Source organism: Homo sapiens, chromosome 6 (assembly GCF_000001405.40).
Source record: "Homo sapiens chromosome 6, GRCh38.p14 Primary Assembly".
Classification (NCBI taxonomy): domain Eukaryota; kingdom Metazoa; phylum Chordata; class Mammalia; order Primates; family Hominidae; genus Homo; species Homo sapiens.
Window position 1 is genome coordinate 10,827,339 of NC_000006.12, and position 12,249 is coordinate 10,839,587.

Genomic DNA, 12,249 nt, shown 5'->3' on the forward strand with positions numbered 1-12,249 from the left:
TGTATATGGATGTATTTGTATATAATAAAGTATTTCTTTGTGTGAATTTACATAATCATTTAATCTACAAATGTGGGCTATTTCAGCTCATTTTGTCTAATAACACTCATTTCTTAGGTTTCTGTCTTATAGCAGTAGTAAGTATCCCCAATGCAATCCTAATCAGCAGGACTGCTAGCAGGCATTTGGGGTTTTCAAACAATTTGTACTGATATTACTTCTGATATTTCACATTAATATGAATTATATAGGTTTTCGTACTAATTCACATTAATATGAATTATGTAGGTTAGGGAAGTTTCTTTTTATTCCTATTTGCTAAGTTTTTGTTTTGTTTTACTTTTGTTTTTGTTTTTAGATAGGGTCTCACTAGGTCACCTAAGCTGAAGTACAGTAGTGGTGGCACTATCTTGGCTCACTGCAGCCTCGACCTCCTGGGCTCAAGCAATCCTCCCACCTCAGCCTCCCGAGTGGCTGGGACTATAGGTGAGCACCACGATGCCCAATTAATTTTTGTATTTTCTGTAGAGGTGGGGTTTCACCATGTTGCCAAGCTGGTCTCAAACTCCTGGGATCAAGCGATCCTCCTGCCTTGCCCTCCCAAAGTGCTGGGATTATAGGTGTGAGCCACTGCATTCAGCCAAGAGGCTTTATCATAAGTTTTTTAAGAAATCAATGTTTGTTTTTTTTAGTTCATCAAATCACAAATGAGCACTGAATTTTATTAAGCCTATTCAATTTATTTTTCATTTCCATTATTGTATATTATATATTTACTTATCTGATGATAATGACTATTTAAAAATATTTTATGAAGTTATTTCCTTGTACATGTAATGGTTTAGATCATAATATTTTAAAACATTTGCTAAAGTATTTAAATTTTAGTTTGTCATAATTTGGTTGATGTGGTAATGTGGAGATGCGTATCCCATGAGTACGGGACTGGTTCTGGTGGAAGTCAACTGCCATGTCCCGAGGCTATTCAAACAACCCTCTGGAAAGGCCCAAGGAAGGAGCCTCTGTAAAAGGGAATTGAGGTGCCTCTTGCCAACAGCCAGTACAAATATGCCAACCCTGTGAGTGAGTGTGATGGGTTCAACTGTGTCCCCCAAAACTCCTATATTGAAGTCCTAGCCCCCAGACTTTCACGGTGTGACAGTATCTGAAGATAGGGTCTTTAAAAAGGTAATTAAGTTTAAGTGAGGTCTTTCAGGTAGGCCCAAATCTGATATGACTGGTGTCCTTATAAGAGGAGCCTGGGCAACATGGCAAGACCCCATCACTCCAAAAAAATTTTTTAAAAATTAGCCACATGTTGTGGTACACGCCTACAGTCCCAACTACTCTGGAGGCTGAGGCAGGAGGATGGTTCAAGCCCAGGAGGCTGAGGCTATAGTGAGCTATGTTTGTACCACCGTACCTCAGCCTGGGCGACAGAATGGAACCCTGTCTTGAAAAAAAAGAGGGGGGAAATGTGGACACAGACATGCACAACGAGAAGATCATATAAAGACCTAGAGAGGATATGGCTGTCTACAAGCCAAGGAGAGAGGCCTCAGAAGAAACAACCAGCAGATACCTTGATGTTGCACTTCTTGCCTCCAGAACTGTGAGGAAATAAATCTCTGTTGTTTAAGCCAACCAGTCTGTGATACTTTGTTACAGCAGCCCTAGCAAACCAAGAGTGAGCCACCTTGGAAGTAGATCCTGCAGTCCCAGTCAAGCCTTCGGATGACTGAAACTTCGGCCAATTATCTGACTGCCATCAGAGAACCCAAGCCAGAACTACCCAGCTAAGCTACTTCTAAATTCCTGACCCACAGAAACTATGTGAATTAATAAATGTTTCTTCTTATTTTAAATCACTAAGCTTTGCAGGTATTTTGTTATGCAGCAATAGATAAACACAGTGGATTAAAAACAAACAAATTAACAACAATTCTATTTCATAAGTTCAGGAATATAACATATATCATTCAGAACTCAATTTGACATTATGAATACCATCTGATTTTGAGACCTTGTTTTAAAGAAATAATAAGCCCTACTCTGCACTCAACTTTAAATGTGAAAAACAGGTCAGGAATGGTGGCTCACACCTGTAATTCCAGCACTTTGGGAGGCCAAGGTGGGTAGCTTGCTTGAGCCTGGGAAGTCAGGACTGCAGTGAGCCATGATCACACCACTGCACGCCAGCCTGGGCAACAGAGTGAGACCCCCATCTCAAAAAACACAAACAAAAACGAAAACCAACAAATAAATTTGGAAGAACATTCCAAAGATCACCTGTAGTTTTGGTCCAAATGTATTATACATATAAAAAAGGAGGCACTCATATTTTTTGGTTTATCAGTGTAGCTGGACAAGCCAGACAGTTAAAGTAATATAGAAGAAAAACAGCAGAATTCCTCTTTGGCAATGTTCTTTTCCAAGAATGACATTCCACATGAGCCAGATGCTATTTGATCTAAACTAGACCTCTTTCTGTGCTCGTATATATTCTTTTTTTTTTTGAGATGGAGTCTCCTTCTGTCACCCAGGCTGGAGTGCAGTGGTGCAATCTCAGCTCACTGCAACCTCTGCCTCCCAGGTTGAAGCGATTCTCGTGCCTCAGCCTCCTGAGTAGCTGGGATTACATGTGTGCACCACCATGCCTGGCTAATTTTTGTATTTTTAGTAGAGACAGGGTTTCACCATGTTGGCCAAGCTGGTCTCAAACTCCTGACCTCAACCCAAAGTGCTGGGATTGCAGGCATGAGCCACCGCACACAGCCTGTGTGCACGTGTGTGTGTGTGTGTGTGTGTGTGTGTGTGTGCGTGTGCACGTATATATATATATTTTTAGACGGAGTCTCACTGTATCACCCAGGCTGGAGTGCGGTGGCGCGATCTCAGCTCACTGCAACTTCCACCTCCTGGGTTCAAGCAATTCTCCTGCCTCGGCCTCCTGAGTAGCTGGGATTACAGGCGCGTGCCACCATGCCTGGCTAAGTTTTGTATTTTTAGTAGAGACAGGGTTTCACCATGTTGGCCAGGCTGGTCTCAAACTCCTAACCTCATGATCCGCCCGCCTCGGCCTCCCAAAGTGCTGGGATTACAGGCATGAGCCACCGCGCTGGCCTGTGCTGGTATATATTCTTAAGCGAGGACAGGAAAATAAAGAGCAGAGTTTTCAAAGGTGAAGTTGGCAGTGTCACACACAGTACCTTTTGATGGCCACCAGCTCCCCGGATTCATTACTCTTGCCCATAAGCACACTCCCATACGTGCCGTCCCCCAACTGTCTCATGGTTGTGTATCGGTTCATCTTGGAAAAATAATGCAGCAGAAGTTGTTGATTGAAATGACTTCCTTGTTGAATATAAATTTGAACGCTTCTTAATTTTTATTTGCTTTTGTCCTCACACTGTTGTTGCTACACTGGTGACAGGTTTGTCATCATTAAATATAGTCTCTCCCCCAAGATTACAGAGGTTCATGAGATATAGCATGAAGGAATCGGGCAAGGAAACAACACTTCCATTCTTATAAACACCCTAAAGAAAGAAAACAAGGATATCATGAATTTTCATTAACAAGTCTCTTCAAAAATTGTACTGGCAACTTAGAGCAAAGGGAAAATTATAAATAATATAAATACTATTGTGTTAAATATTTGTCAGTAAGTCATTTGTCTATGTAAAATGAAGTTCACATATAACTCACTGGTAATACTCACTTGGTAAATGCCTCATTTACATGGTACTGTGCTATTTATGTTCAATAATGGCATAATGGCTTGTATGATTCCTTTTTTACTAAATATAATCTACATTATTCCAAATCAGACCTTGGAAAATTGATGTCTATATGATATCCATTCTTTGAATCAATTTTTGTATCATATTTAATTTGGCATATTGTTTAAAACTGTACTACTTGTAAATTTTCTGTGGAATATAAGTACCCCAATTGGGTAAGGTAAGTATAAAGCAAACTTTTGTTTCATATGAAAGGAATAGCATTATTTTAAAATTTCATATTCTATTTAAATAACATGCTACTTTATTTTACATCAAACTAAGAAAAATGTAAATACTAATTAGGATTTAGTGTCACACTAGGTTCATACAAAGAAATAAGAAACATAGCCGGGCGTGGTGGCTGATGCCTGTAATCCCAGTGATTTGAGAGGCCAAGGCAGGAGGATTGTAGAGGCCAGGAGTTCAAGACCAGCCTGGGCACCATATCATGCCCTTCTTTACAAAAACTAAAAAACTAGCTGGACTTGATGGCACGCTTGTAGTCCCAGCTACTTGGGAGGCTGAGGCACGAGGATTGCTTGAGCCCAGGAGTTCAAGGTTACAGTGAGCTATGATCACACCACTAAACTCCATCCTGGGTGACAGAGTAAGACTCTGTCTCTAAAGAAAAAAAAATTTTTTAATAAATAAAAAGGGAAGTAGAGCCTGAAGATGTGACTGAAATGTTGTAACCTCATAATCAAACTTGAATGAATGAGGAAGTGTTTCTTATGGATGAACAAAGAAACTGTTTTATTGAGATGGAATCTACTTCTGGTAGAGATGCTATTAACACTGCTGAAAAGACAAAAAAGAATTTTTTTCTTTTTTTGAGACAGAGTGAGACTCTGGTTGGAGTGCAGTGGCACAATCTTGGCTCACTGTAACCTCCGCCTCCCAGGTTCAAGTGATTTTTGTCCCTGAGTCCTCACCCCTGTCACCATCACTCCCCCAGTAGCTGGGATTACAGGTGCCCACCCCGACCCCCAGTAGCTGGGATTACAGGTGCGCACCACCACACCTGGCTAATTTTTGTATTTTTAGTAGAGATGGGGTTTCACCATGTTGGCCAAGCTGGTCTCGAACTCCTGGCCTCAGCGATCCGCCCGCCTCGGCGGGATTACAGGCATGAACCAGTGCCCAGTCAAGAACAAAGGATTTAGAATATTACATAAACTGAGTTGACAAAGCAGTGGCAGGATGTGAGAAGACTGACTTCAATTTTGAAAGAAGTTCTACTGTAAGTAAAATGCTATCAAACAGTCTCACATATTACAGAGAAATCTTTTATGAAAAGTCTGTCAATGTAGCAAATACCATTGTTGTCTCATTTTGAGAAATGGTTACAGCCATCTCAACCTTCAGCAGCCACCACCCTGATCGGTCAGCAGCCATCAACACAGAGGCAAAGCCCTCCACCAGCAAAAAGACTATGACTCACTGAAGGCTCAGATAATCAGCATTTTTTAGCAATAAGATTTTTTTTTTTGACAGCCTCCCATGTAGCTGGGACTATAGGCGCAAGCTACTACACCCAGCTATTTTTTGTAATTTTAGTAGAAACAGGGTTTCACCACGTTGGACAGGCTGGTCTCAAACTCCTGACCTCAAGTGATCCACCTGCCTCCACCTCCCGATGTGTTGGGATTACAGGTGTGAGCTACTGCTCCCGGCCACAATAAGATATTTTTAAATTAAGGTATGTATGTTATTTTTTCTAGACAAAATGCTATTGTATACTAAATAGACTACAGTATAATGTAAACATAATTTGCATATGTACTTTAAACCCAAAAACATGTGTGACTTGCTTTATTGCAATATTCACTTTATTGCCGTGGTCTGGAGCTAAACCCACAGTATCTCCGAGGTGTGTATGTAGTTTGTTTTAAAGTACCTTTTATGACTTAGTTCTTCATTCAAAGAATATTTTTCTCTCACTGGAGCACTTTCATTTAAATCATAGAAATTGCTCCTCTATTATTTGCAGGAATTTAAGACCAACAAGGGCACGTTATAGTTGTCAAAATACTTAAGATTTCCCAAAACAGCCTTTCCGGGAAAAGAAACATAAACATGAGCAGACATAAACGTGCAGAGCAGCACAGTAAAGTTATGTTGTTTCCTATTTACAGGAACGTATCTGTTCACAGAAAACTTGAGAAGAATCCTGTGGGGCTTTTAATAATACGGAGTGTGGGCTGGGCGCCCTGGCTCATCCCTGTAATCCCAACGCTTTGGGAGGCCAAGACGGGTGGATCACCTGAGGTCAGGTGTTTGAGACCAGCCTGACCAACGTGGTGAAACTTCATCTCTACTAAAAATACAGAAATTAGCTGGGTGTGGTGGCGCAGGCCTGTAGCCCTAGTTACTAAGGAGGCTGAGGTAGGAGAATCACTTGAACCTGGGAGGCGGAGGTTGCAGTGAGCCAAGATTGCACCACTGCACTCCCACCTGGGCAACAGTGCGAGACTCTGTCTCAAAATAATAATAATAATAATAATAATAATAATAATAGGGAGTACGTATTTAACATTTATCTTACTTCATGTAGGTAACAATCCCTTCAAAGGCACATATAAAATAATTTAGGCTAGCTAACTCCATGGCCAGGATCTTGAAAAAGAGAACATGACAGCAGATTCCATCTCTATTTAGGGGTTTCTTCCTTTTTGTCAGATTAAGCCCGAGCTAATAATCATAAGTACCAGCAAATGGTTCCCCATTTGCCTGAAAAAGAATAGTTTTGTAAGTCATTGTCACCTTATTCATAGACACTGATTCCAAATATTAAGGTGTTAATATAGAGAAAGGCAGTCTCTCTCTCTGCACGGTTCCTAATCAAAACATGAATTTGCTTTTCTTCATTTTGCCTTTATCTGTATAAGCAAATATAATTTGGAAAAATCTTTTGGGTTGTTTTGTTTTGTACTACGTTAAACAAAACATGGACTAAAATATATTTCTTCTCATTTAGGATTTTATTAAATCAGTATTTTGCAATTTATCACCAGCATATTCAATTGCTGTACACTCTTTTCTAGCTAGCCTATTTAAGGTGACATATATCTATCTCTTTTAGGAAATATGTGATCTCTAGGTTTACTGATTCTTTCTGATTAAGTAAGCATAAAGAGAATATATTTGCACAAAAGGCCATCATGTTCCTTATGACAGTAAGATCATAAAATAAAAACATGGAAGGATTAAATGACCTGTCTAGGATCAACTAGAGAATCAACGATGGAGTCAATCCAATAGTTGCATTTGGCTTGATGTTGTTGGTTTTTCAGGGTCGTCTCCAACTTCTAAACAAGCCATTCTTATGAACTGGTGCCAGCTCTTACTATCCCTAATGAGGCTAAAGAAATCATCCTCTTTGCTCCAAAACCACACAGACTAAGCTCCACAACTCAAGCCACCTACCCCAACCTCCACCTTAAGATTCCTAATGCAGCTCTTCACTCAAACACTAAGATATTGCTGACTACCTGGAAAGTGAAGTGGGACTACTCCATATCCTGACTAAACCCTAATGCTACATCTGGGTCATTCAGACCAGTGAAAAATAACAGAAACAGTGAAGGGAAAGAGTGAGACCTTAGAACTTGAATGGTTAAGGGAGAAAGAATCTAGGTGGTGCTCCTCTCATGAAAATTATTATTATTATTATTATTATTGTTTGAGACAGAGTCTCACTCTGTGCCAGGTCCGACCCGCAGACCCTGGCTGAATGACAGATCAAAGAATGCACTCAGACACAGGTATCCAGTGAAAGAGCGGGCTAGGGGACCGGGCAGCACACAGACCCCAGGAGGGTGCTGTAAACCGTGGCCCTGCTCAGCTGGCGCTGTGGGCATTTATTCAGCACAGATTTAATGACAAAGGCTTTGAGTTAACACACTTGTGGGTAATTAACATGGTCGCACCGCTCCCCCGCCCCACGCAGTCCTGCGTCTGGATGATTAAAGGCCAGGTTCTGAGGCCTAAGTAAACTAACTTATCTAGATTAGTTTCTTTACATCCCCTTGTTATCTAACCTAAGCTCTTAAGAGAATTCAGCTGCCTTCAGCCAAATTTTCTTTTGAAGCTTTGCAAACCCCTGGCCTTCCAAGAAGGTTTGCATCTTTCTACGATTTTTCCCACCACCCTGACCAATCTCCTACAGCTCGGATGCCCAGGCTGGAGTGTGGTGGCGTTATCTCTGCTCACTGCAACCTCCGCCTCCCAGGTTCAAGGGACTCTCCTGCCTCAGCCTCCTGAGTAGCTGGGATTACAGGCGCGTGCCACCATGCCCGGCTAATTTCTGTATTTTTAGTAGAGACAGGGTTTTACCACGTTGGCCAGGCTGGTCTTGAACTCCTGACCTCATGTGATCCACCTGCCTCGGCCTCCCAAAGTGCTGGGGTTTATAGGCGTGAGCCACTGCGCCCAGCCATGAAAATTATTTAATTCAGAAACATAATGGTATGATAGCATCATCTTTTCTTTTAACCAAATTATTTTCATGTTAACACCTAACCAAGGACAAGCATTTGAGGGTCTAAAAGGTAGAAAAGTAATGCAGACAATTCTGAAAAAGGACATATGACTTGAGAAGGGAATGGAAGAGGGAGCTGCCTCTGGTTGCATGGTAATGATGGTAGCGAGTGTTATTCAGGAAGTGGAAACACAAAGAGTGACAAAAAAATCACCTTCATTGGCCCAACAATCTAAAAATTAAGAATTAATTACACCTCTCTCTTCCACTATTAAGGCCATCAGCCACCCCCATCACCACCGCCCTGGGGTGGGAGGGTGACCTGAAGCTGCACCAGCACTATCAGCACAATAGAGCATTCAGTCACTGATGACTTTCGACCCAAGCCTGCGTGCACAGTCTCTTTGCGAGTGGCTATTTTGGCAACTTCATTCCAAGCCTAACCAATCAACTTCTGAATAAACACCGGCAACACCAATTGTCTTTCAACGGATGATGGCTATAGGATAGGGTGTACTTATATTGAGGGAAGAATAAGCAAGGAACACGACCATTTCCCAGCTCCTTTCTGTTTGAGGGGTGGAGTGTTGAGGATTACGGACGTGACATAGATTTTTAAAAGGTCAGATTAGTGGTTCTGTGAGGATCTGTCCCATTTAAGCCCTACCTAACCTTTAAGTAAAACAACTTTACATACTGCGCTCCCTAAGAAAAAACTTTGGAAAGGCTTCTTTTGAACTACATTAATTACAAAATCAACAGCTGCCCAGGGTGAGACGCTGATCATTGCAACTGTTCCTTCTATCCCCTGAACATACAATTGTCTAATGTAGAGACATAGACATCAAGGTAAAGCTTTTAAAAAATCATTATTCCATGTCCCTGCTCCCTGATAGCACATAAGCAACTACTTTTATCAATGTGGCATAGCAACTACTGATTACTAATCAAAAAGCAGTCTATGTTCCTTAAACACAGGCTTCCCATGGTTCTCCAGTTCACGCACAATAATATTTCTCTACAAGTTACATATATTCTTCTCTGTTGACCTATGGAAAACTAATCTACAAAATAGGAATATATTAACACAGTTTCTTATGTACATGAATATATATAGATATGATACATATGCAACAAAAAACCCAAGTAAATATAACTATCATCCTCAATTTAACAGAATTGTTAAAAACTTGGAATTTTCTACAATCAAGCTATAACATTTATTGACCTTCCTATGGGTTAAAGAAAAAGATGCTTATTTAGAGGCTTAATTATAGACCTACACAAAAATAAATACCCTTATAATTTATCTCTCATTCTAGTTTTCAACTTTTTAATCTAAGTTCATAATTACCGTTTCTCTAAGTGCACAATTGTTGTAAATATAGCCTTTACTCTCAACAGCTTTTGCCAGCTAATAAGAGATTCAGATAGGATTAAAGAAGATTAGCAAAGAGGGCAAATGAAGGGTAAAACAAGCGTCTGCCAAAAACTGAAGAGATAAGGCTTGGATGTCTTCAACGTGGCTTTCTAGAACATATTATGTCACTCCGAGGCTGGCTTAACGCTTCTAATACACAACAAAAGAGTAATTAACGTTTTAAAAGTCACCAAACTCTTTAAAAAGCAACGCAGGAAAAAAAGATCCCAAACTAACCAAGTCGAAGTTTTACAGAAATTAAATGAGCTATTACAATGGGAAAACAAAGACTGTATCTTAAAATATAAAAGCACAGTTCTCTGTGCTCATATTCACAAATTATTTCAAAGCTTATACACAAAAAAAGTCCACCCCGACGAAGAGATTAAACGTCCTGCCCGGTGCCTGCAGTGGAAGCAGGCGGTGGCGCGGTTGGGGGAACTTTCTCCCTCCCGGTCAAGCCTCGGGAATTGAAGGGCCGGGGAGGCGGGGCCCGATCGAAAAGCTGGAAAGTCACTTTTGTTTTCACCATTATTTCACTTAATGGGTTGTGTTTCTGAATAAATAAAGTCAGATAACTTTGGCTTCCCTCTTTGAGAATTCCGTTATCATTAGAACAAATGTCTGTTTCTTTTAAACGATTATCTAACCACATTTGCATACAGCTCTTTCCTTGTAGGATTGAGATTACTAACCACTAAAAACCAGTTTTATTGCTCTCGACACCGCACTCTCGACCTGTCCCTAAATTAAAACGGATTACTTGCAGAAAAGGGACAGTTTTCGTCACACACTTTCTGATCCGACTCTGCAAACCAGGGCTCTTAAAAGGCTCCAGGGACCGCGTGGTGGAAGGAGGGGGCGTCCCCGGGCGCCGGGAGTCCGGCGCCGTTGGGGGGGACGGGGGTGTGCGGAATTCCACTTTCACCTGAGCGTCCTTTGGGATGCACCAGCGAGGGCTGGAGTCGGACCTAATTCCTGTTTTTCTCCCTCCTTTTAGATTTTGCAACAGTTCTGAACTCAGTTCCGCTGCCTCCCTGAGACCCAATCCTGCCTCTCTGTCCTAAAAACAGTTTCCACCGCCAGCCCAAGCAGCAGGGGAGCAGAGGTGGGAGATCCCGGAGGAGAGTTTAGGGGCGGGGGTCTCAGGCTAAGGGACGCCCGGCCGTCATCCTCCCACGCCAGGCCGGCCCCCGCGGTCCAGGAGGCGGGAAAGTGGTCAAGAGGTCTGGGAGACACCGACCGCCTTCCCTCGGGCTGACCACTCCCGCCCGCTCCGCCCCTCCGGGGACCCTCCTCCCTCCAGTCCTTCCCCTACCGGCGTCAGGGACCGGTCTCCGGGCGGAGATTGGCCCTGGTAGCACAGGGCGCCGAGGGGACATGCCCGGCCAGCCTCGCAGGTCGGGCTCCGGCTGGGTCGGACAGAGGGTGGTGGCCCTGCAGCCCGCTGGGGATTACCTGTCCGCGCCTGCTGCTTACCTCGTTCGCTCCCTTGTGAAGCTCCGGCGTCTTGTGTGTTTCATCTCCTAGGAAACGGCGGGGGCAGCAGGCGGGCCTACGGCCGGCCCAGAGAGGGCGTGGCCTCGCGGGAAATCCCCGCCAATTCCCGCAGGCCCCGCCTTCCCCGGGGCGGGGCTTCATGGAGCCGGGGGACTGTCGGCTGAGCTGCAGCAAGTGTGCCATTTAGACTTGGGGTTTAGGGGAGTTGATTACCTTTTCAGTCAGGTCTTTGTCAGAAGTTGGTTTGTTTGCCCTTTATTTTGTTTTGGTTTTGTTCCGATTCATTCTACAAAGTCTTGATTAATTAAAATATGGTTCCCAGACCGGGCAGAGCAAGAGAAGGAAGTCTGTTTGCCTCATACTTGCACTTGTTTACTTGTGCCTGGGGAAAAACTGTTCTTGTATGCAGTTCCTTAAATTGGTCAATTCCTTGGGTATGTATTACCTCTTGAGCTGCCCTTCTAAGTTTGTTTCCATTTATTCATTCAGAGAACCTGCCTAGTATCAGCCACAGAGTTAGATAGTGGTAATTCCAAGAAAAATGACTGAATGTGTGAATAAATGGGTAAATTGTAACTAGTCTAGAATTTAGAGAGGAAGGCACACTTGTGTTACTGCAAATAGTTCAGATTGGCTGGCAAAAAGGGTCTACGAAACAGAAACATAAGTGATGAAGCAGTGGTGCGGCAAGTTAGTAATTATTAGGTGTCAGGATGTGGGCTTGGGACCAAGAATAGCGCCAAGGTAGACACGACAGACATGCCTGTGGCCCTCACAGCTTAAAGTGAAGTAGGCTTTCACGCGTATGTTTATGGCAGCACAATTCACAATTGCAAAGATGTGGAACCAATCTAAGTGCCCATTGACTAATGAGTGGATAAAGAAAATGTGGTATATATACACCATAGGCTGCTACTCAGTCACAAAAAAAGAATGAAATAATGTCTTTTGCAACAACTTGGAAGAGTGGGAGGTCCTTATTCTACGCAAAGTAATACAGGCGTGGAAAACCAAAAACTGTATGTTCTCACTTATAAGCAAAAGCCAAGCTATGAGTATGCAAA

The 12,249-nt window shown here is 42.5% G+C and overlaps 1 protein-coding gene across 14 annotated transcripts in view, besides 3 other annotated features; it reads right to left on the minus strand.

Moving 5' to 3' along the window:
* The window catches only part of MAK (male germ cell associated kinase), a 75,817-nt gene extending 64,616 nt beyond the window's left edge, over positions 1-11,201 (minus strand). For 9 of the 14 annotated variants that reach the window (XR_926215.4, NR_134935.2, XR_926220.4 and 6 more), the window contains exons 1-2: positions 11,165-11,201; positions 3,210-3,539 (exon numbers count right to left, since the gene is read on the minus strand). Coding sequence is in view for 7 of the 14 variants with exons in the window: in XM_011514622.4 (XP_011512924.1) it covers positions 3,210-3,310 (101 nt within the window). In the remaining 7 variants the exon portion in view is untranslated. Of the gene's footprint in view, positions 1-3,209; positions 3,540-9,619; positions 9,639-11,003 lie in introns of those variants that run through there. The other 5 variants (NR_134936.2, XM_011514619.3, NM_001242385.2 and 2 more) reach the window with 4 other exon arrangements.
* Positions 11,264-11,393: a silencer, noted in NCBI's record as "silent region_16907". NCBI's record gives its function as "represses an Ori minimal core promoter by ATAC-STARR-seq in GM12878 lymphoblastoid cells {active_cell/tissue: GM12878}" and the evidence as "EXISTENCE:reporter gene assay evidence [ECO:0000049][PMID:35858748]".
* Positions 11,614-11,673: an enhancer, noted in NCBI's record as "active region_23973". NCBI's record gives its function as "activates an Ori minimal core promoter by ATAC-STARR-seq in GM12878 lymphoblastoid cells {active_cell/tissue: GM12878}" and the evidence as "EXISTENCE:reporter gene assay evidence [ECO:0000049][PMID:35858748]".
* Positions 11,724-11,883: an enhancer, noted in NCBI's record as "active region_23974". NCBI's record gives its function as "activates an Ori minimal core promoter by ATAC-STARR-seq in GM12878 lymphoblastoid cells {active_cell/tissue: GM12878}" and the evidence as "EXISTENCE:reporter gene assay evidence [ECO:0000049][PMID:35858748]".